The following is a 25768-nucleotide window of genomic DNA, read 5'->3' as shown; positions in this document are numbered from 1 at the left end:
TGGATTAAAGACTTGTAAAACCTATAGCTATAAAAACTTTGAAAGATAACCTAGGAAATGCCATTCTGGACATAGGACCTGGCATAGATTTCATGACAAAGATACCAAAAGCAATTGCAATAAAAACAAAAATTAACAAATAGGACCTAATTAAACTAAAGAGCTTCTGCACAGCACAAGACACTATCAACAGAGTAAACAGACAATCTACTGAATGGGAGAAAATATTTGCAAACTATCATCCAACAAAGGTTTAATATCCAGAATCTATAAGGAACTTAAGCAAAAAACAACCTCATTAAAATCTGGGCAAGTGACATGAACAAACATACTTCTCAAAAGAAGATGTACAACCAATGAACATATGAAAAAATACTCAGCATCGCTAATAATCAAAGGCCAAAACCACAGTGAGATACAATCTAACACCACACACCAGTCAGAATAGCTATTATTAAAAATTCAAAAAATAACAGATGTTTGCAAGGCTACAGAGAAAAAGGAATGCTTATACACTGTTGGTGAAAATGTAAATTACTTCAGCCACTGGAAAGCAGTTTGGAGATTTCTCAAAGAACTTAAAACTACCATTCAACCAATCGATCCCATTACTGGGTATATTCCCAAAGGAAAAAATATTATTCTACTGAAAAGACAAACGCACTTGTATATTTCTTGCAGCACTATCCACAAAAGCAAAGACATGGAATCAACCTGGGTGCCCATCAGTGGTGGGTTGGATAAAGAAATTCTGGTGTATATATCCCATGGAATACTATGCAGCCATAAAAAAGTCATATCCTTTGCAATAACATGGATCCAACTGGAGGCCATAATCCTAAGCAAATTAATGCAGGAACAGAAAACCAAATACTACATGGTCTCCCTTATAAGTGGGAGCTAAACTTTGAGTATACATAGACATAAAGATGCAAACAATAGACCCTGCAGACTATGAGAACAGGGAGGGAGAAAGGGGGGAATGGGTTGAAAAATTACCTATTGGGTACTATGCTGACTACCTGGGTAATGGGTTCCATAGCTCAAACCTCAGCATTATGCAATATACCCATGTAACATACTCACACATGTACCTCCTGTATCTAAAATAAAAGTAGAAATTATAAAAAAATTCAAAAACAAAAAGAATCAACTTTTAATTTAGTTCAAAATACTTTGTAATTTTATTTTTTATTTCTTGAATATAAGATGGGTTATTTACTGAAGTGTAGGCATACTAGATCAAATTAAAATGGGCTTTATAGAACAGGAGAATATAAAGGATCCAAGAGTTAGAAATACATGTAGACGTCACAGGAACTGATAAATCATAGGGAAAAGAGAGGACAGATATTTTCTCTAGCTCTCCCTATGGTCTCATATTCACTTATTCCTCCTTCTCTCTATAATGCTTTCTATGCTTTTTCCTCTGTAGACCAGTCTCTTCTGCTCATAGTCATCATGGTCACCACAAAATAGTGCCCTCAATCCTTGGTCTTCAGGATTTTACCTCAGCTTTATACATTTAATTATCTCAGTATTTCAGGGAGAGGAATTTCATTGACCCAACTTAGGCTGGGTGTCTACTTGATGCTATGGTGGCCAAGATGGTAGGAGAATCATTGGTACAGGTATAGACACCCAACCACATGAACAAGGAAAGGAGAGCACATAGACCTGTTCTTTGAACAGCATGTATCATAGTCAAGCATTTAGAGCACCAGGCACTAGGGGCAGAGTAAACAAGGAGAAAAGAAAGAAACAAGAGCCCAGGTAAGTTTTCTATGGGGTTCTGACTTTAAACTGACACCACTAGGCCCACTATGGTCTTAGGACTGTTAAAGCTCCTTTGGTATGACTAAGTCCATGATAGCATCATCTCCTGTTTTCTGATTGCTCTTGAGTCCCATGAGGGGATCTTGTTCATGTTAAGAAGACAGATCCTGTGGATATCCCAAGTAAAAACAACTCTCATTTTGGAAGTAATTCCCTGCTCCTGAAAGGTTCTCCCAGAGCCAGCTTCACTCTAAAGTCTGGTATCCGCAAGACCAGGAAATCACCAGTTGCAATTTTAGCATATTAAAGTCAATGGTAAATTTACTTGACTAGGGCTTTCAGCCTCCAGCCTCCTAAAGTGAGCATGAAGGCACAAACCTGAAATATTTAAGGAATGTTGGTACAATATTTCCTCTGACTGCACATAGACTTTCCTCAGGAAATGATTATGTCCATCCTTCTTTCCCCATTGAACCAGGAAGCATATCTATTATAAATATATTTTCTTTTTGTTACATTTGATGAATTCCTCATACTTTCAAAACCTTCTGTTTTAATTATGAAAATAAAGTTCTGTAAGTCACAAGACCTACTGGGTCCAGGAAATAATTCTGCCTTAAGGCAGACTATACGCAATTGGGGATTATACTTCAAGCAGGGTTCTGGATCCTAAACGTAAATTCTATTTTTAAAAGTATGAAATTTTCACTTAAAAGTTGTTAAATCTCAGTAAATGGGCTTATACTGATGTCCTGCTGCTCCTGAGGAAAACACAATGTGTGCTTAAAATTACTGCCTCTTTGTGATCTCTCTTTTCAGTTGCTTGTTCTCTAACAAAGTCCTACAAAGAGGTGACGGTGACTATCTGTGCTTTGCAATTCAAGCTGTTTTTTGAATAGACAGAATTTCCCTAGAACTGCCCCCCTCTTTCTTCATGACTTCTTGACCCGGCATTCATTAAAGCTGAGGTCCTGGCTCAAGTCAAGGGAAGATTTTAGTTATTATCCTTGGCAAAGGAACTCTCCACTGTGGCTTTGGTTTGAACTTCAGCTCTTTAGAGTACAGGGGTCACATGTGAATTTGTTATGCTCTCTGGCAAATGTTTCAGAATAAATGAATCTGATGAAATTCTCATGAAGTATTTGTTTTTTAGTGTTTCTCTAATATACAATAAATTGTAATTTATGAGGCATAATTGAAGAAAATTCTGGAGGAAGTTGTGTATAAGATTAGGGGGATTATTAAATCAACTTTATTGTGTTTTCAAAAGTTAAAAATGGTTTACAGCTATAATAAATTGCTTGAGAGTGCTATCAACCCATAAATTTTAATAATTTTATAAACATTCTGCAGTTAAGTTGGGCTCATGGCCAAATCCCAGGGCTGGTTTTGTGTCATGTAGTGTGTGTTTCAGTTTACCTGACTGATAAAGGAATGAGCTGTTCCTCATGCATGACATGCAGTGATTGGTCATTAATTTTAATGAACTAAAACTAAGAACTCAAATTTGAAGTCAGAGGTGCATTCGGCATCTCTGCCCCTCCCCAGTCTGTTGCCTAGTCATTGCTACTATATAGTATCTTCAAAGATAGAGGCTAATTTCATTTCCTTTAGCCTTTTCACCTTGAAAACCAGTTATAGAAATAATCACTTACTCATCTCCTATTGGGGAGCTGTTAACAGGATTGTTAAAATTTTTTTTAAGTAATAAGCTTAAAATACTCATAACAATTTGCATATAGAGAGTTCCCAATATACATTGGCTAAGATAGATTTATATCAATTTCATCAAGCAAATAAAGTGTGATATTTTTGGTATTTCTTCTCTTGTGAAAGTTGGTCAAATTTTACACAACTTGCTGAGATGTGCCTGTCTATGTAGAGGCTGGGTTTGTTTTAAATGTGTGCCTTAATGAAATGTGCTAATTAAGTGAGGATTACATTATTCACGTGTTCATCTAGACATTCCTGCCTAGATTTAGACCAAATTGATTATTGTATATTTAATAGAATACTATTTTGCTCTTTTTTTCTTTTATTCTACTCAAATTAAGCATATATAAAAACTGAGGTTATTAATTTGACTTGGTGTTCAATTATTCATTGTCGGCTTTTTATGATCATAAAAATAGTCACTGGATACTCAAGGATACTTAAGATTTAAACTATTGACTTTAGGCTACACATTCTGTTCTTTTAAAAAACACTTTTAGGACTATGATAAAAAAAAGTGGTGATTTTTTAATGATACAAGAGTCTTTTCCATTGAGTGTTTAATTTTCACTTTCTCATCTTACTGATGTGACTAAAAAAAAGTTAAAGTTGATGATTTTTGCCACCAAAAGAATGTCACTTGGTAACTAGATGTGTATATGTATTTATTCATCCATGCAAGACAGGCACATACTAATATATGCACTTGCCATGCCTACATTTTCACTTAATGAAGAGCTTAATAAAAATCAGCATTCATAGCCCCTTCCTAGTCAGATAAATTAGTTAATGCACAATAAGCAGCTCTTATGTATAATGCAAAAGATTAGTCTTATCATTTGCATAATGTGCTACAAATGGCCCACTGTTTCAAGCAGTAGAAGCTTTCTCATTAAATGTGAGTTGAAAGCTGAATGACGTCAATAAAGTAATTATGCTTCATTTGGCATATCTCATTCATTCTCTGGAGTTCAAGACCTTCTCTGAGCTCTGTTGACAGTGCTGCTGAAAGGCATGGTAATGGTTCAAAAGCAGAGCATTGGAACTCTGGGAATAAGCATGGTGTGCTCAAGCCTCCACTATATGAGTTGTTGGCCAGCAGCGATGCATTTTATCCTCTGGCCTATGCACACATGTATGTATAAGCATGTGCAACTAGAAACTCTTATGTTAATTCAAATTATCTGTCAGGGTCACTTAATCTCAGCCTTAAAAAGCTTACAGACATTCCCTGTAATATATGTCTGTTAGTACCAACTTCTCTGTTTTCGTTTGTCCTGGAATGTGTTAATTTGCCTTTTTTTCATAGATAAATGAGTTATAAAAAAAAATTCAGACCAGCAAAGTACCTATATCATTGACGTCCAGATTTGCCAGAATTCCCAGTGGAAAGAAGAGATTGACACTGATGGCATTTCTGTCTCCCTGCTGAAACATTTATAAAAATCCCAGTTCTGCCAATGGGATAGACAGAATTCACTGTCACAGTGTTGCCCCTCATCCCTCACGGAATGCTCACGTGAATATTTCCATGTTTTTGAGGAAATAGATTAGTTTTCAAAGAATATCTTTTAATTCAGAATACGCACTTTACTGATGTGAAAAATAAGACTCAAAGAACTTACATAATTTGGCAGAGATCCAGTTCTACTGAGTTTAGAAGATAAGTCTCTTGAGTCTTGTTCTTTGAGTATTGTTTCCCTGTGTTGTTAGTGGGTTTTTTTTTTTTTAATTCTTTTCACCTTTGTTTACTATCTCGAGGATGGGGAGGCAGATCACTTTATATTTGTCATGCAAAACTTCATATTAAAACTGTAAAAATGGTGGCTATGGAATTGCCTCTAAAAACTGATGCATTTCCATGCTCAGAATCTAACTCATTGCTCAAAAGCAGACTGTAGCTAATCTTTTTCTAGTATACTGTGTAAAAACAGCATTTCGACAAACGTGGTAAAATTATTTCTTCTGAAAATAGCACTTTACTGAAATCTTTGTTTTCCAATTAACTCTTCTTTCTTGAAGATAAAAAAAAATTGTTATTGAGAAAATGTCTGTTTTAAAGCATATATTTTATATTGTACTATTATATTTCATAATATTTTTTAAAAACAAAGAGGATTACTAGTACTTAGACAATTTCATCATTTTCTATATTTAATCCCACTTATTTCTGTGCTTATATAACTTATAAGCAATAAGTCTGTCTTGGAAAGGTAGAATATGCAACTTAATGCTAAAAGTAGGCTTGAATACCATCATAAGATCTGCGATTTATTCCTCCTGTTTGGGAAGTAATATGAAAGAGCCAAAAACCACAGACATTGTTAAAATGTGGATAAATATACTTATATTCACAATTCTACATACAAAGTAGAGATTTTGACATTTTAGCTACAGAAGGCATCAAAGAAAAAAGTCTTAAAGGTTGTATATATGTTAATTAGGTAATTATAAGAAAGTGAAGAAATCTTAAAAGAAATTATTCCACTTAGTTTGATAATTTTATTCAATTGAAGTAAATTTAAATGAGATCACCCATCTTTCACCTTTAGCTAAGAATAATACAAATAATAGATTACCCAAGAATATTTATAAATGCCAATTTGAGTACCTCTAAATTTCTACGGAATCTAATCTGGAACACAGAATGTCAGTTTCTACATAATGCCAATATCATTAAGTAAAAAATGAAATATCTATTAAACAGAAATCTATGTCCAAATGAACAGTTTGAAAACATGTTTTGAGTGGCTACACAATTGTAGCTTCGGCTACTTTGGTATGGACTTCAGCTATTTATCATGCTGACTTGTAATTGTATGTATGTGTGTATGTATGTGTGTGTGATTACATAAAAATAATGCTGCAATATTATTGAGTATCTTTTTTTGGCTATTTTCCATGCACCTCTTCTCTTTAGTAGGTCCAGATGAGATGGATTGCTAAAATCCAATAGTGAGAGAAATAATTGTTGTATCAACAACTGCCAGGTTGGTTCTACTCAAACGCTGAGCTCCTGGTAAATTCAATCCTCTGGATTATCTTCATATAAAAAACAAGTAAGAGGTATAGGCTTCACCCACTACATGCAGAAGAAGTTCAGCTCAAATAGTGTAGTTTTAACAGTCATTAACCCAATTTAAATGGTATAAAGTAATTAGTATATATGCTTTGAATGAGAATGTTCCCAAACTTTGATATATAATATTCATAATTTGGATAGATTTCAACTAAGAGTGTACTTTTACATGTATCCTTATTGGCAATAGAGAGTTTTTATTAGGCACCAGTAAATGGTCTTTGTGACTACTGCTATGACAGTCAGTGGTATATCTTAATTAGCAGTATTATTTCTAGTTCAACTAAAATAGCTAAAGGGTCCTCCTGGGATCAATTCTGGGATATGATTTTGTTTAATCTTATTATTAATGATAATAAATTTTTACTTTGTGGGAGTATCATCTGTATGCCCATGATTCCATTATTTAAACAAATAATTATTCCATATTACAATTCCTTTAGAACATGACAATAACAAATCATAGTTATGGCTTATTCAGAGTAAATTAGGTCTAAAACACTAATAAAATTAATTGCAAGATGTTTGATTGGAAATGAAAGCCAGTTAAAACAGGAGCTCTCTCTCATGGTCTTTGATAATGCATTACTCTCTGGAATAAAGCTACCAGCATGAAATATCTGAGTGCTTGTTAGCAAACAAAGAGTAATTGAAACTTGGTTGCTAGGAGACATTTTTTCTCACTGTTGACAATCCTGATTTCTTTGATTACTGGCACTATTGTTGTTCATTACACAAACTGAATGTTTTTAAATAACATTGGAAAAACATATTTTGGAATCCAATTGTGTGAATACTACCATGTGCTACCAAAGAAATGTTTATTCACAGGTTCAGCAGGTTAACTATTTCTGGTAAGCATTTTTTCAGGAGGCTTAGTGCATATTTTTTATTTCTTATAAAATATACATTTTACTAGAAGGTAAATTTTAAGATTTTTATAGAACACAGATTTTGTATAATCCTTGAAATTAAGATTTTCTTACAAACAAAAAATCCTATCTACATAAATTCAACTTTTTCATTGTAGCAATTTATTTTTATATTCAAAATTATCTCATTTGCATGAAGGAAAATGATATTTAAAATACAAGAAAATGTCTACTTTGAATGAGGTAGGGATTTAAACATTTTGGATAAGACAGCAAATTTTGAAAGTATTTTAGCAAAATGAGCACTTTGGCATCCAGATTTCTCTCATAAAGAATTTTCAAGAATCTTTATTTTCATGGCATGAATTAGCATTATATTTGGCAAAACTTCAAACAGGTAGACAAATATGCAGAAAATATCTAAACAATCTTTAACTCCCAATGGAATTCCTTTGATTTTTATGCTGTCTAACCTCAGGTGTTCTCATTGCCTCTTGACACTTTCTGGTTCCTGTCCTCACTGCTGTGAAAGCCACTCTTTCCCACTCTGAAGTCATTTCTTTCATGCCTACTCTTCACATTCCTGCTTCACAGAATAGACAAGGAACAACAGACTAGAACTCCTTGAGTTTTCACTCTCTTCACACTTAATGGTCTTTTGTCTTTATTCTTCCTTATTTTCTCCCCTCCTATTCAGAATAAATGATATGCTTCCTTTCTGAAACTCCCTCTTCTGGTTCTATTCTGTTCTTTGGACACCTTGGCTCTCAATTAACCCTCTCCTTCTTTTCACTTATCAATCTCTTTTTCTTTGTCTAATTATATATTCAGACTATGTTGACAGTCTTTTTGTTTTTTTTTTTTTACTTACTAAAAAGATCATTCTATGTTTATAGATGGTTTCATTTTTCTAATGTTGTGAAATTTGACTTTGTCAAATAGTCTAACTGAAGTTTCTCTCTCATATGTCACAAATGACCTCTAAAGTCTCTAAATCAAGGATTTGTCTTAATTCTCATTCTTCCAATGTCAATTACTGCTGGTGACCTTTCATTCTTTCACCTCAATTTTTCTTTGATTCCCTTAAAATCACTACCTGAGATATCATCTCATATCTTTACGAATTCTTACATGTTTTCTTCTTAAGCTGCTCTTTCTGTTCCTGTATCCTAAAGTCACTATTTCTGAATTTTGTCTTGGTCCACTTTTGCTCTCTTGCTACATTCTCTCTATTAAATATCTCACCCATCCAACAGCTTCATTTGGCATGCCGGTACAAATCTCTAGGTAAAATTATATAGAAAATCCCGATTTTCCCCCAAATTCAGTCTTGTATGTTCACCTGACTCCTAAGCAATGTTCATATGAATGCCTCAGTGACACTTTAAACTCATCATTTCCATAGTTCCCACTGTCACCATATAGGAAAATTTTATTCTTTCTTATTACTTTAATTTATATTGAGATACTAGCATCACACAGCCATTTTTGTTCTTATTTTTCTCACCACAGCAGTTGTTTGATTACCTACATGTTTTGTCCTGTTTTCTTTGCCATCTCAGTTCGACTTTTCATTGACTCTCCTGTGGACTACTGAAGTTCCCTAATTTATCTCTCCAAGTCATCTGATGCATTTATCAGTTTTAGATTTTAAACAAAACTCTAATCATACCACTTACGTAATTAAAATTATTAGTGGTTTCCCTAAGAGCAACTCAATGGTTCCTTCTAAACTTATCTCCTAGTTGTCCTTTTTGACTTGAATTACCACAGCGTTTGCACCTGTCTCTGAGTACATTATTATAAATACTACAGTACAATATAGCCTTCTAAAAGTCATGTTTTCCTGCTCATAAAAGAATATAAATTATTTGGAAGCTGGGTTTATATTTAATTTATCCTGTATTTTCCATCATATTTTGGTCAGATTTAATATACATAAACTAAAAAATAAGTTATTGATCAGAAATGTAAATAATTATTTTCAATATAAATGAGGTATGTGATAGTCATTATGTAGTCTTAACTAATGTACCCTTTCATCATATTTTTATTCCCTTTCTTAACTTTTTGAGACAAAGGCTAATTTATACTGATGGATACAATGACTATTTTGAGAGATTCTAAATCTCTGTGAGCAAAATGTTCTTGACTTACATCTGCATATGCTAATTGCATGACTCTGCATAGTACAAAGGAAAGAAAAATATTCTTAGATGATACTGGAATTAGTATACTATTACCGGAAAGTATACCATGCTAAGTTAATGATGCATGTTATGAACTCTAGGACAAGCACTTAGTAGATGAAGCATGGAAATATATCGTACAGACAAATAGTATAGATACAATAAAAAAGAAGTACACAGACCTTCCAAAATGTAAAAAAGGAATAAAATAAAGAACTAGTAGGAAAAATATTCCTTACATATAGCAACATGGTTAATTCAAACAGAAGCATATTAATTACATTAAATTCACATGAGTCTGAACATCTAAATACATCAAAATCACAGGAGTGTAAACATTGTAAAAGGCAGAGATAATCAGACTGGGTATACAAATGCATTCCCAACTATATAAGAAATTCACCACAACAATATGGTCAGTTAATTTTCTGAATGTTTATAGCAACTTTAATTTTTTTACATTTTTAAAAATTGACAGTTATATATATGCTGTATGTTACTTTTCAATACCCGTTTACATTATGGAATGATCAAATCAGGATAATTAGTATAATACTATCACCTCAACTATTATTTCCTTGTGAGAACTTTAAAATCTTTTTAGCTATTTTGAAATATATAATACATCATTATTAACTATAGTAATCATGGTATGCAATAGAATTTCAGAACTTATTTCTCCTACCTAACTGAAACTTTGTACCCACTTACCAATGTCATCTTCTCTTTCCCTATCCACCTCGAACTCCCAGCCTCTGGCAAGCACCATTCTACTCACTACTTCTGAGTTTTACTTTTATAGATTCCACATATAAGTGAGATTGTTCAGTATTTATCTTCCTGTGTCTGCAGTATTTCTCTTAACATAATGTCCTCTAGTTTCGGTCGCGGTGGCTCATGCCTATAATCCCAGCACTTTGGGAGGCTGAGGCGGGCGGATCACAAGGTCAGGAGATCGAGACCATCCTGGCTAACACGGCGAAACCCCGTCTCTACTAAAAATACAAAAAAACTAGCCAGGCGTGGTGGCGGATGCCTGTAGTCCCAGCTACTCGGGAGGCTGAGGCAGGAGAAGGGCGTGAACCCGGAAGGCGGAGCTTGCAGTGAGCCGAGATCGTGCCGCTGCACTCCAGCCTGGGTGACAGAGCGAGACTCTGTCTCAAAAAAAAGAAAAAAAAAACAAAAACAGTCCTCTAGTTTCATGCATGTTGTCACAAATGACAGAATTTCCAGGTTTTTTCTTATGGTTGAATATTATTCCATTTGTATATACATATTCGAGTTTTAAAAATTCTATTCATCCACTGATGAACATCTTGGTTATTTCCATATCTTAACTATTGTGAATAATGCTGCAATAAACATGACAGTGCAGACATCTCTTTGACATACTGACTTCAATTCCTCTAGGTATACACATAGAAGTGGGATTGCTGGATCATTTGGTAATTCTATTTTTAGTTTCTTAGGAACCTCCATAATGTTTTCCAAAATGGCTGAACTAATTTACAATACCACAGCAGTGTACAAGGATTCCCTTTCTCCTCGCCAACATTTGTAATCTTTCATGCTTTTGATAATACCCAATCTAACAGTTGTGATGTGATATCTCCTTGTTACTTTTATTTGCATTTCTCTGATTGCAGAATTTGAGTATTTTAAAAATATATCTGTTGCCCATTTGTATGTCTTTTTTTTTGAGAAATGTCTATTCAAGTTCTTTGTCCATTTTTAAAATAGGGTTATTTGATTTTTATTGTTCAATAGTTTGAGTTTCTGGTATATTTTGGATATTAGCCCCTTATCTAATATATAATTTACAAGTATTTTCTCTCAGCCTGTAGGTTGCCTGTTTATATTTATTGCTTCCTTTGCTTTGCAGAAGCTTTGTAGTTTGATACAATCCCATTGTCTATTTTTGTTTTTAGTGTCTGTGATTTTGAGGTCATATCCAAGAAATCACTGTGCAGACCAATGCCATGCAGCTTTTCCTCTGTTTTCTTTTGTTAGTTTTACAGTGTCGGGTTTTACATTTAAGTCTTTTATCCATTTCGAGTTGAAACTTGTGTAAAGGATAAGGTAAGTGTCTATTTTCGCTCTTTGGCATGTGGATATCCACTTTTCCAAGCTCTCATTTGTTAAATAGATTGTCCTTCCCCATTGTGAGTTCTTGGCATTTTCACTGAAAATCAATTGACTATAGCTGTGTGGGTTTATTTCTGGGCTCTCTATCCTATTCCATTAGTTCATATATTTGCTTTTAATGACAGTACCATGCTGTTATACTATACAAAATAGTATATTTTGAAATCTGGTAGTATGATGCTTTCAGCTTGTTCTTTTGCTCAAGTTTCTTTTTGCTCAAGGTTGCTTTGGCTATTTGTCTTCTTTTGGGGTTCCATATGAAGTTTAGTAATGCTTTTGGTATTTCTATGAAGAATAAGCAAATTTTGATAGGGACTGCATTAAATCTGTATCTCACTTTGGACAGTATAGACATTTAAAAAATGTTAATCCTTCCAATCCATGAACACAAGATGTATTTCCATTTATTTGTGTCTTCTTTCATTTATGTTTTATATAACTTTTCAGTAGACATATCTTTCACTTTCTTAGTTAAATTTATTCCCAAGTATTTTATATTTTGTATGATTTTTTTTTTGATTTTTTTTTTGAGATGGAGTCTCGCTCTGTCGCCAGGCTGGAGTTCAGTGGCATGAAATCGGTTCACTGCAACCCCGCCTCCTGGGTTCAAGCTATTCTTCTGCCTCAGCCTCCTGAGTAGCTGGGACTACAGGCACGCACCACTATGCCCAGCTAATTTTTGTATTTTTAGTAGACACGAGGTTTCACCATGTTGGCCAGGATGGTCTCAATCTCTTGACCTTGCAATCTGCCCTCCTCGGCCTCCCAAAGTGCTGGGATTACAGGCATGAGCCACTACACCCGGCCCTGTATGATACTATAAGTAGAATTGTTTTCTTAATTTCCTTGTTGGTGTACTGAAAGACTACTCACTTTTGTAATTTGATTTTGTATCCTGAAACTTTGCTGAATTTGTTCTTCAGCTATAAATGTTTACTGGTGAAATCTTTAGGGTTTTCTATATGTGAGATCACATTGTCAGCAAACAAAGATAATTTCAATTTTTTTTCTTATTTACATACATTTTGTTCCTTTCTCTTGCCTATTTTCTCTGGCTAAGACTTCTAGTAGTATGTTGAACAGAATTGCTAGTATTTTGTTGAAAATGTTTGCATCTATGTTTATCGGTGATACTGATGTGTAGTTTTCTGTTTTTGTAGTGTCTTGGTCTGGCTTTGGTGTCGGGGCATTTCCAGTCTCATAAAATGACTTTGTAAGTATTCCCTTCCCTTCAATTTTTGGACAAATTTAAGAAAGATTGGTAGTAGGTATTCTTTACATGTTTGGTAGAACTCAGCCATAAAGCCATTTGGCCACGGGCTTCTCTTTGATGGAAAACTTCAAATTACTGGTTTAATCTTTTTACTCATTATTGGTCTGTTCAGATTTTCAATTTCTTTGTGATTCAGTTTTGGTAGGTTATCCATTTATCCACTTTCTTCTAGATTGTCCAATGTGTTGGAGTATAATTGTTCATAGTAGTCTTTTATGATCTTTTGTATTTCTGTTATCATTTGTAATGACTGTCCTTCATGTCTAGTTTACTTGAGTCTTCCCTTTTTTCTCAATTGTTCTAGCTAAGGATTTGTCAATTTTGTTTATCTTTTAAAAAACAACTCTTAGCTTTGTTAATCCTATAATTTTTCTAGTCTCCATTTCATTTTTTTCTGCTCTGATCTTTTCTATTTTTTTCCTTTTGCTAACTTTGAGCTTAGTTCATTCTGTTTGTTTTAGTTCCCTTAGGTATAACATTAGGTTGTTTTTCAGAGATCTTTATTCTTTTTTGATTAGATATTTATTGTTATAAACTTTCCTCTTAGAACTGCTTCTGCTGTATCCCATAAGTTTTGGTATTCTGTGTTTCCGCTTTTGTCTGTCTCATGATATATATTTTAATTCCTCCTTTAACTTTTTGATTCAATAGTTGTTCAGGAGCATATTGCTTAATTTATGTGTATTTATTAATTTTCCATGATTCCTCCTGTTATTGATTTCTGGTTTAATACCATTGTGTTGAGAAAAGACACTTGCTATGATTTCAGTTGTCTTAAATTTGTTAAGACTTGTTTTGTGGCTTAACATATGATCTACCTTGAAGAATATTCTGTGTGCCCTGAGAAGAAAGTTTATCCTATTGTTGTTGGGTGGAATGTTCTTATATATCTGTTGGGTCCATTTGGTCTAGAGTGTAGTTCAAGTCCAATGTTTCCTCCTTGCTTTTCTGTCTGAATATCTCGTGTTGAAAATGGAATATTGAAATAATCTCCTATTAATGTGTTGCCATCCAGGTCTCTCTTCAGATATTTTAATGTATGCTTTATATATTTAGGTATTAGATATTTTAATGTATGCTTTATATATTTAGGTACATTATATATAACGTATGCTTTATATATAAGGTGCTCCAATGTTCGGTACATATATACTTACAATTTCTGTATTCTCTTGTTTTAACAAAAATATCAATAGGTTGGGAAAACAGGCAGTGTTTGGTTGTATGGGAAAGTTCTTTAGTGATGATTTCTGAGATTTTGGTGCATCCATCACCCAAGCAGTGTACCCTGCACCCATTCTATAGTGTTTTATCCCTCACCCCCTTCCCAGTCTTTTTCCCAAGTCCCCAAAGTCCACTGTGTCATTCTTACACTTTTGCATCCTCATGCTTATAAGTGAGAACATATGATGTTTGGTTTTCCATTCCTGAGTTTCTTCACTTAGAATAATGGTCTCCAACTCCATCCAGGTTGCTGTGAATGCCATAATTTCATTCCTTTTTAAGGCTGAGTAGCATTTCATTTTCTTTATCAACTCATTGGTTGATGGGCATTTAAGTTGGCCCCATTTTTTCGCAGTTGTGAATTGTGCTGCTATAAACATCAATGTGCAAGTGTCTTTTTCATATAATGACTTTTTTTTCTCTGAATAGATACCCATAGAGGGATTGCTGGATCAAACAGTAGTTCTACTTTTTGTACTTTAAGGTATCTCCATACTGTTTTCCATAGTGGTTGTACAAGTTTACATTCCCACCAACAGTGTAAAAGTGTTCCCTTTTCACTACATCCTCACCAACATCTATCATTTTTTGATTTTTAAAATTATGGCCATTCCTGTAGGAGTAAGGTGGTATCTCATTGTGGTTTTGATTTGCATTTCCCTGATAATTAGTGATTTTGAGCATTTTTTTCATACGTTTGTTGGCCATTTGTATATCTTCTTTTGAGAATTATCTATTCATGTCCTTTGCCTATTTTTTGACGGGATTGCTTTTTTTTTTTTTCTTGCTGATTCATTTGAATTCTTTGTAGATTTTGGATATTAGTCCTTAGTCAGATGCATAGTTTGCAAAGATTTTCTCCCACTCTTGTGTTGTCTTTTTACTCTGCTATTTCTTTTGCTGTGCAGAGGCATTTTCATTTAATTAAGTCCCATCTATTTATCTTTGTATTTGTTGTATTTACTTTTGGGTTCTTGGTCATGAAGTATTTGCCTAAGCAAACTCAAGGAAAATTTTTCTGATGTTATCTTTTATAATTTGTAAGGTTTCAGGTCATAGATTTAAGTCTTTCATCAGTCTTGAGTTGATTTTATATATAAGGTGAGAGATGAGGATTCAGCTTCATTCTTCTGCATGTGACTTGCCAATTATCCTACCACTATTTGTTGAGTAGCGTGTTCTTTTCCCATTTTGTTTTTGTTTGCTTTGTTCAAGATCAGTTGGCTGTAAATATTTGGCTTCATTTCTGGGTTCTGTATTCTGTTCCATTGGTCTATCTGCCTATTTTTATACCAGTACCATGCTGTTTTGGTAACTATAGCTTTGTATTACAGTTTGAAATTGGGCAATGCTATGCCTCCAATTTTTTTTTTTTTTTTTTTTTTTTTTTTGCTTAGTCTTACTTTAGCTATGTGAGCTCTTTTTTGGTTCTATATGAATTTTAGGATTGTTTGGTCTTGTTCTGTGAAGAATACATTGTGGTATTTTGATGGGAATTGCATTGAATCTATAGGTTGCTTTTGGCAGTATGGTCATTTTCACAGTATTGATTCTACCCATTCATGAGCATTCCATTTATTTGTATTTGTTGTCTATGATTTCTTTCAGCAGTATTTTGTAGTTTTCCTTGTTAGAGATCTTTCACCTCTTTGGTTAGGTATATTGCTAAGTTTTTGTTTTGTTTTGTTTTTGTTTTTTGTGGCTGTGGTAAAAGGGGTTACGTTTTTGATTTGATCCTCTGCTTGATTGTTGTTGGTGTATAGCAGTGCTACTCATTTTTGTACATTGATTTTGTATCCTGATCATTTATCAGATCCAGAAGCTTTTTGGATGAGGCTTTAGGGTTTTCTAGGTATATGATCACATCATTGGCAAACAGCGACAGTTTGACTTCCTCTTTACCAGTTTGGATGCTCTTTATTTCTTTCTGTTGTCTTATTGCTCTGGCTAGGACTTCCAGTACTATGTTGAATAGAAGTGATGAAAGTGGGCATCCTTGTTGTGTTCCAGTACTCAGAGGGAATGCTTTCAACTTTTCCTCATTCAGCACAATGTTGGCTGTGGGTTTGTCATAAATGGCTTTTCTTACCTTGAGGTATGTCCCTTCTATGCTGATTTTGTTGATAATTTTAATCATAAAGAGATGCTGGATTTTGTCAAATGCTTTTTCTGTGTCTATTGAGATAATCATCTGATTTTCATTGTTAATTCTCTATGTAATGTGTCACATCTGTTAACTTGCATATGTTAAACCATTCTTGCATCCTTGGTATGATAAACCAGTTGATTATGGTGCATTATCTTTTTGATATATTGTGGATTCAGTTAGCTAGTATTTTGTTGAGAATTTTTGCATCTATGGTCATCAGGGATATTGGTCTGTAGTTTTCTCTTTTTGTTATGTCCTTCCCTGGTTTTGGTATTAGGATGCTATTGGCTTCATATAATGATTTAGGGAGGATTTAGTAAGATTGGTACCAATTCTTCTTAGAATACCTGATAGAATTTGGCTGTGTATCCATCTGGTCCTGGACGTTTTTCTGGCAATAATTTTATTACTGTTTCAGTCTTGCTACTTGTTATTGATGTGTTCAGAGTGTCTATTTTCTCCTGATTTAATCTAGGAGGGTTGTGTATTTCCAGAAATTTATTCATCCCCTCTAGATTTTCTAGTATGTATGTGTGTGTAATGGATCATTCATAGTAGCCTTGAATGATCTTTTGTCTTTCTGTGGTATCTCTGCCATTTTGTTTCTAAGTGAGCTTGTTTGGATCTTCTCTATTGTTTTCTTGGTTAATCTCACCAATTGTCTATCAATTTTTTTTTATCTCTTCAAAGAAACAGCTTTTTGTTTCATTTATCTTTTGTAGGTATTTTTGGTTCAATTTAATTTAGTTTTGCTCCGATCTTTGTTATTTCTTTTCTTCTGTTGGGTTTAGGTTTAGTTTGTTCTTACTTCTCTAGTTCCTTGAGATGTGACCCTAGATTGTCTATTTGTGCTCTCTTTCAGACTTTTTGATGTAGGCATTTAATACCATAAACTTTCTTGTTGGTACTGTTTTTGCTGTATCCCAGAGGTTTTGATAAGTTGTATCAATATTGTTGTTCAGTTCAAAGAATTTTTAATTTCCCTTCTTGATTTCATTGTTGACCCAATGGTCATTCAGGAACAGATTATTTAATTTATATGTATTTGTATAGTTTTGAATGTAGTGTTCCTTTTGGAGTTAATTTTCAATTTTATTCCACTGTGGTCTCAGAGGGTGTTTGATATAACTTCAGTTTTCTTAAATTTATTGAGACTTGTTTTGTGGCCTATCAGATGGTCTGTTTTGGAGAATGTTCCATGTGCTGATGAAAAGAATGTATATTCTGCAGTTGTTGGGTAGAATGTTATGAAAATTTACATTAAGTCCATTTGTTCTAGGGTATAGTTTAAATTTGTTGTTTCTTTTTAGACTTTCTGTCTTGATGACCTGTCTAGTGCTGTCAATGGAGTATTAAAGTCCCCCACTATTATTGTGTTGCCATCTATCTCATTTTTTATGTCTAGTAGTAGTTTTATAAATTTGGGAGCTCCCGCATTAGGTACACATATATTTAGGATTGTGATATTTTTCCTATTGGACTGATCGTTTTATCATTATATAATATCCCTCTTTGTCTTTTTCATCTGATGTTGTTTTAAAGTTCATTTTGTCTGGTATAAGAATAGCTACTCCTGCTTGCTTTTGGTGTTTATTTGTATGGAATATCTTTTTTCACCCCTTTACCTTGAGTTCATGTGAGTCCTTATGTGTTAGGTGAGTCTCTTGAAGACAGCAAGTACTTGCTTAGTCAATTCTTATTCGTTCTGCCATTCTGTATCTTTTAAGTGGACCATTTAGGCCATTTACATTCAATGTTAGTATTGAGATATGAGGTACTATTTTATTCATCATGCTACTTGTTTACTGAATACCTTTTATAGGCCCTGTGAGAGTTATGCTTCAAGAAGGTTCTATTTTGTCATATTTCAAGGTTTTGTTTCAATATTTTGAACTTCTTTTATCATTTCTTGTAGTGCTGACTTGGAAGTGGCAATTATCTCAGCATTTGTTTGTCTGAAAAAGATTTTTTCTCTCCATATATGAAGCTTAATTTTCTGGATACAAAATTCTTGGCTGACAATTATTTTGTTTGAGGAGGTTAAAGATAGGACCCCAATCCCTTCTGGCTTATAGGGTTTCTGCTGAGAAATCCGTTAATCTGATAGGTTTTCCTTTATAGGTTATCAATGCTTTTGCCTTACAGCTCTTAAGATCCTTTCCTTTGTTTTGACTTTAGATAACATGATTACTGTGTGCCTGGGTGATGATTTTTTTTTTTTTTTTGAGATGTATTTCCCAGGTGTTCTCTGAGCTTCTTGTATCTGGATATTTAGATCTCTAGTGAGGCTGGGGATGTTTTCCTAGATTATTCCCTCAAATATGTTTTCCAAACTTGTAGATTTCTCTTCCTCCTCAGGAACACCAATTTTTCTTAGGTTTAGGCATTTAACATAATCTCAAATTTCTTGGAGGCTTTGTTCAGTTTTTACAATATTTTTTTGTCTTTGTCTGATTGTGTTAATTAGAAAAGCTTGTCTTCAGTCTCTGAATTTCTTTATTCTACTTGTTTGATTCTATTACTGAGCCTTTCTTGTGCATTTTGTTCTTCTGCAAGTGTGTCTTTCATTTCCAGAAATTGTGATTGTCTTTTCTTTGTGAAATCTATTTCTGTGGAGCATTTTCATTCATATCCTGTATTATTTTTTTAAATTTCTTCAAGTTGTTTTTCACTTTTCTCTTGTATTTCTTTGAGTAGCTTAATAATCAACCTTCTGAATTTCTTTTCTGGCAATTCAGAGGTTTCTTCTTGGTTTGGATCCATTGCTAGAGAGCTAATGTCTTCTGGGGGTGTTATAGAACCTTGTTTTGTCATATTACCAGAATTGCTTTTCTGATTTCTTCTCATTTGGATAGACTATTTTAGTGGAAAAATCTGGAACTCAAGCTCTGTTGTTCAGATTCTTTTGTCCCATAGGGTGATCCCTTGATGTGGTGCACTCCCTCTTCCCCTAGGGATGGGGCTTCCTGTGAGCCAGACTGCAGTGATTGTTATTGCTCTTCTGTGTCTAGTCACTCAGTGGGGCTACCAAGCTCTGAGCTGGTGCTGGGGAATGTCTGTGAAGAGTTCTGTGGTGTTATCCATCTTCAGGTCTCCCAGCCATGGAGACCAGTACCTGCTCTGGAGGAGGTGGCAGGGGAGGGAAGTAGACTCTCTGAGATTCCTTAGTTGTAGATATATTTCGTGTGCTGGTTTTCTCGAATGCTGAAAGTGAAATTGTCATGTCGACAGATTCAAGACCACTGGTTAGCCAGGATGTTGCAGACAGTGGAATTAGCTGTTGTTTTCGCCTTCCTTGGAGCTGGGTTGTTCTGTCGTGAGTAGCTGTAATGTCCTGAATTGGTTGGCCTCAAGCCAGGAGGTGGTGCTTTCAAGACAGCACCAGCCTCCATAATAGAAGGTGAATATAAGCTTGCCTTAAGTTGGCCAGGATAAGTATTTGGGTTTCACAGGCAATAGGCAGGGTCATAAAGCTCTCAAGGGTTTATGTCTTTTGTGATCAGAGTTTTTCACCTGTTTCACAGAATTTGAAGTGGCCTGCCACTTCTTTCAAAGGATTCTTCTTTCATTTGGTTTTCCTGGTACATATCTGCAGTGGTTCCTGTAGGAGTGGTGTGTCTCCACATGCTGTTCTGTCAGTCCAAGTGGGAGCTGCTTGGCGGCCCTGTCTCCTATCCACCATCTGCTGCCTATATCTTCTTGACGAAGTTAATAATTATCTTCTTTGTCTCTTTTAAAGCTTTTGACCTAATGTCTATTTTGTCTGACATGGGTATAGCTACCCCTGCTCTCATTTGGTTTCCATTTACATAGAATATCTTTTTCCATCCCCTCACTTTGTCTTAGAGTGTCCTTTAAGTGAATTTAGTTTCTTATAAAAAGAATATAATTGGGTCTTTTTTAAAAAAAAAAAAATCCATTCAGCCACTCCATGTCTTTTGATTTAAGAATTTAATCCATTCACATTCCAAGTAATTATTGTTAGGTAAGTACTTACTAGTGCCATTTGGTTAATTGTTTTCTGGTTGTTTTTTGTTCCTTTCTTCTTCCATTGTTTTCTTCCTTTGTGGTTTAATGGCTTTCTGTAGTGGTATGTGTTAGATCTTTTCTTTTTATCTTTTATGTATCTATTATAGGCATTTGTTTTTTGGTTACCTCATGGCTTACATAAAATATCTTAAGTATAACTGGCTATTTTATGCTGTAACATATAATTTTGATCACATATACAAACTACAATTTTACTCCCCTTCCTCCCATGTTTTATGGTTTTAATGTCACAATTTACATTTTTTAAAAAAATTGTATCCCTTAATAAATTATTGTAGCTTTAGTTGTTTTTCATAGTTTTGCTCTTTTACTTTTATACTACAGATATAATTGATTTACCTACCTCCATTATAGTATTAGTGTGTCTTGTTTTGACAATGAGTGAGTTTTACATTTTCATATACTTTCACATTACTGATTAATGTCTTCTTTTAGTTTGAAGAACCCCCATATAGCATTTCTTTCTTTTTTTTCTTTTTTTTTTTTTTTGAGATGGAGTCTCACTCTGTCTCCCTATAGCATTTCTAAGGCAGACTTGGCAGTGACAAACTCTCACCTTTTCTTTCTCTGCATGAGTTTTTATCATGCTTTTATTTTTGAAAGACTGGGTAGCTGGATACAGTATTCTTGGCTGAAAATATTTTCTTGTAGAATTGTGAATATATTATCTCATTCCCTTCTGGTTTACAAGGTTTCTGCAGACAACTCCAGTAATAATTTTATGGGGGTTCTTTTGTATGTAATGATTTTCTTTTCCTTTGCTGCTTTCAAAACTCTTTGTCTTTAATTTTGACGATTTGACTGTGATGTGTCTGAATGTAAGTCTCCTCAAATTCATCTTGTTTGGTGTCCTTTGGGCTTCCTGGATTTGTATTTCTATTGTCTTCCTCAGACTTGGAAAACGTTCTGCCATTATTTCTTTTCTCTTTTCTTTTTTTTTTTTTTTTTAAGATGCGGTCTTTCTCTGTCACCCAGGCTAGAGTGCATTGTCACAATCTTGGCTCACTGCAACCTCTGTCTCCTGGGTTCAAGCTATTCTCCTGCTTCAGTCTCCTGAGTAACTGGGATTACAAGCATGCACCACCATGCCCAGCTAATTTTTGTATTTCTAGTAGAGATGGGATTTCACTGTATTGGCCAGGATGGTTTTGAACTCCTGACCTCAAGTGATCCACCCGCCTCAGCCTCCCAAAGTGCTAAAATTACAGGCATGAGCCACCACACCAGGCCAATCTCTTTGAATACGTTGTCTGTCTCTGTCTCTCCCTTCTTCCGAGACACCAATAATGTGTATGTTGTTATGCTTGATGGTGTTCCATAAGTCTCTTAAACTATTCTCACTTCTTTTCATTCTTTTTTTCTTTTGGCTTTTCAGACTGTATGGTTTCCAGTTAGCTGTTTTGAGTTTAGTAATCCTTTCTTCTGCTTGATCTAGTCTGCTAATGAATCCCTCTATTGAATTATTTAGTTTATTTCATATTTTTCAGCTATATAATCTCTGTTTGGTAATTATTTATACTTCCCATTTCTTTGTTAAATTTCTCAATTTGTTCTTTCTTTGCTCTCTTGACCCTGGTGAGCATCTTCATGATTATTATGTTGAGTTCTCTGTAAGGTAAACCATATATCTCCACTTTACTTGGGTTGTTTTTTGAAAATTTATCTTGTTCTTTTATTTGGAATATATCCCCATTTCTTCATTTTTCCTGACTCTCTGTGTTGGCCTTTCCATATTAGATATGACAACTACCTCTTCCAGTCTTGTCAAACTAGACTCGTGTAGAAGAAAGAGCTCACTAATCTGTCCGGCCAGAGATTTTAAGGTGCGTCTTGAATCTTTGCATTTGTCTAGACTGCTGTTTTTGGTGGCCCCCTGAAGGTTAGGATGTGCCACATACTGTCAGTATCCCAAAAGCGGTAAGGCAGAAGCCAGACTGTCTAGCTATAGCTGGTGTGTTGGTATGTTGAATGTGTGTTCCAGTTTCTCCTATCTTCATAATGAGGCTGAGCACAGGTGCTATCTCCCACTCTCTCTGCACTAAGCCAGAGAAAGAATTTGTGGTAAATGCCTATACTCACATTCAGGCTGCACCCTCTGATCTTGGGGAGATAGATGCTGAAAGTGGGCCTCTTTGTTTTCTGTGGTCTATGCCTATTAGAAATGCAAAGCCCCATCAATTCCAAAGCTAGGTCTTTACGGTGACAGTCCCTTGAGTGTAAGCTGTGAAAGTTATAACACACTCAGTGTATGATCAAAACTCTTTCAGTAAGAACGAGTAGACTTGGATTTATCACTGGGGTGAGCCAGAAGAAAGGCTTATTTTGTGCCAAGCTCTGGCTCAGGCTGCCGGAGAGCTATTGTTTGTTTACACTGTTAGCTCCTTGATGCAAGTTTGTTAGAAGCCAGGTTATCAAGTAGCCACTGGAAGTGTGTGCTATAAGACCCTTCTGGAGAGAAAATGGGAAATGCCTGTTCCTGTCTCCTCTCTGCACTATTCCAAGGGGGTATTTGCGTACCTGTTTAAAACCACTTCTTTGTTTTGTGATCTGAGAGTTTTACATATGCCTAGTCCATTCTGCTCTGGGGCTAAGAGATTTGGTATGGAATCCTTTGGTAGGTAGCTATAAGAGTTGGGGTGCTCAACACATGGTATAATCCCCTTCCAGGGAGAAACTGAGAGCTGTGTTTTCAAAGCCCCTTCTCTGTGCTGCTCCTGAGAGATAAATTCCCTGCAAGTGCTCCCCTGCCCACATGAAACTGTCACTTTTTTTGTGGTCTAGAGAGTCTCACATATACTTAGTCTTCTCTACTCCTAGAGCTAGGAGGTTTGGCAGGCAGTCCTTCCAGTAAACATGTAAAAAGTTGGGGTGTTGATGTGTGGACAAATTTCTTTCAGGAGGATTAATAAACCTGGAATTATCACTAGGGTGAGCCAAGGAGAAGGCCTGGCAAGTACCAATCTGCTTCTCAGGCTGTCAGTGGGCCAATACTTGTCTGCCCCTTTAAGTCCCTGATGCAAGTTAGTTAGAAGCTTGGCCACCAAGTAGCCACTGGAAGAGTCTATCATATACCTCTTTTGGGAAGAAACAGGGAGTTGCAATTTTAAAGCCCCTCCTCTGCTGTTCCTTTGTGCCCATGTATAAGCACCACTTTTTTTCCTGTGTTCTAGAGAGAGATGCATATACCAGTCCCCTCTGCTTCCAGAGCTAGGAGGTTTAGGATGCAGTTCTTCAGGTGAAAGCTGTGAAAGTTGGGGCACTTGAAGTATGGCCAATCTCCTTTCAGGCCTGGAATTATCACTGAAGTGAGCCAGGTGGGGGTTGGGCAGAGGGGATGTTGAAGGCCTGAGAGGTACTGATCTGCTTCTCAGGCTGCCAGTAAGCTAATACTTGTTTGCCCCCTTAGCTCCCCAATGTAAGTTAATTAGAAGCCAGGCTACCAAGTAGCCACTGAAAGAGTATGTCTTAAGTCCCTTCCAGGAAGAGACAGGAGACTATGTTTTTTAAGCCTCCTATCTGCACTGCTCCTAGAGAATAAAGCTTGTGGAAGTGCTTACGTACCTGCATAAAACCACCGCCTTTTCCCTGTGGTCTAGAGAGACTCATGTGTGTCTCCTACCCTCCATTCTCAGAGTTAGAAACTTGAGAACTAATCCATAGGGAACTTTAGAATTAGGGCTCTATATGTGAGAGCCCTACAGTTTGTGCAAGATGCACAAATCATAAAAAAATGTAGATAAGTGGGACTTCAACAAAATTCTAAATGTTTTTCATAATATGCTATTAAAGAAATACATAGATAAGCCATAGAATAGGAGAATATGTTCTCAAAATATGTATCTAACAAAGTACTTGAATTTAGAATAGATTTTTAAAAACTATTACATCATAAGAAGATAAATAATCAAATTTTAAAATGGGCAACAGATTTGAGCAGATAATTCACAAAAGTAGATATAAGGATGGTTAAGAAACACACAGATATACGTTCAACTTTATTGGTAATCAAATAGAAATTAAAACCAAAATGAAACAGTGCTATAAATTAACTAGAATGCCTAAAAGTCATTTTAAAATGACAAGACTAAATGTTGGAGACTTTATGTAGTAACAAGAGCTGTCATACACTGCTGGAGGTAAAAATAACTTTGGAAAAAGGCCAGTTTCTTAATGAATAAGTAAAAATAAAACACATACACACACATACATACACACACACATACATAAGGCAACCTTTTCACTCCTGGGAATTTACTGAAGAGAAATATTCATATCAGCTTTACTCATAATAGCAAAAAACAGGAAACAACCCAAATATCCATCAGCAAGTGGCTGGATAAATATAATGTATATTTATTCAATAGCATATTACTCTACATCGAGAAGAAACACAATAAACTAATAATATAAGGAACAACTTAAGATAATCTCAAAAACAGGCTGAGGAAAAGAAGCCAGATACAAAAGGATATATATTGTTTCCATTTCAATAAAATTCTAGAAAAGAGAAAAGGAAACTATAGTGACAGAAAAATGGTTAGTGGTTGCCTGGAACCAGGTGCTGGGAGTTGGGAAATTAAGGGGAATTAGCTGGGATGAGAGAAAAAAACTTTTGAGGCTGAAGGAATGTTCTATTTTTAGGTTTTGGTAGATTTTACTTCGGTGTCAAGTCTCTTTAAATTGTACAATGTAAATGGATACATTTTGTTTTATACAGATTATATCTCAATAAAGTTGAATTTTAAAAAGATAAAAATCTGTGAATAGATCTGACCTCATTTTTTCATTTACTTGGTACCTAACTTTTCATAAAGTTTGTAATCAGTCATTCAATGTTAAAAGAGAGGAGGAGGATTCTGGGAATCACCCTGCATATAGAATCCACTGACCCTGTGCAAGGCTATGATTGTTCTAGAGTGGATTCATGAGTGACCCTTTAATATGAGAACAATCCAAATTTAGAACCAAAGACATATCATTTGGGAAATATTTTGGTAGGAATGAAATGGTGGCAAGTATTAAGAAAATAACCTAGACTTAATTATTGTAAGTTTTTATTATTCTTGTCCTACTGTCTAGTGTCTCCAAAGCTACTTGAGATAAGATAGTGTGATGGATGAAAGTAAAAGCATTTAGCTTATGAAAGTTATAATCATATGCTGGCAAGGTTGTGGACAAAAGGGAAGACTTATACACTATTGGAGTGAGTGTAAATTAGTTGAACCATTGTGGCAAGCAGTATGGTGATTCCTCAAAGAGCTAAAAGCATAACTACCATTCAACCCAGCAAGTCCCATT

General features: G+C 35.0%; 1 long non-coding RNA gene across 1 annotated transcript in view; it reads left to right on the top strand.

The window, feature by feature from the left end:
* The window catches only part of LOC124901056 (uncharacterized), an 891204-nt gene that overhangs the window by 707711 nt on the left and 157725 nt on the right, over positions 1–25768 (top strand). Inside the window, exon 7 of the long non-coding RNA XR_007058919.1 lies at positions 12935–12987. This is a non-coding gene — a long non-coding RNA (uncharacterized LOC124901056). The remainder of the gene's footprint in view (positions 1–12934; positions 12988–25768) is intronic.

This window comes from Homo sapiens, chromosome 5, assembly GCF_000001405.40.
Source record: "Homo sapiens chromosome 5, GRCh38.p14 Primary Assembly".
Lineage (NCBI taxonomy): Eukaryota > Metazoa > Chordata > Mammalia > Primates > Hominidae > Homo > Homo sapiens.
The sequence above is the reverse complement of the archived record's forward strand: the minus strand, read 5'-3'. Positions and strand labels throughout refer to the sequence as shown.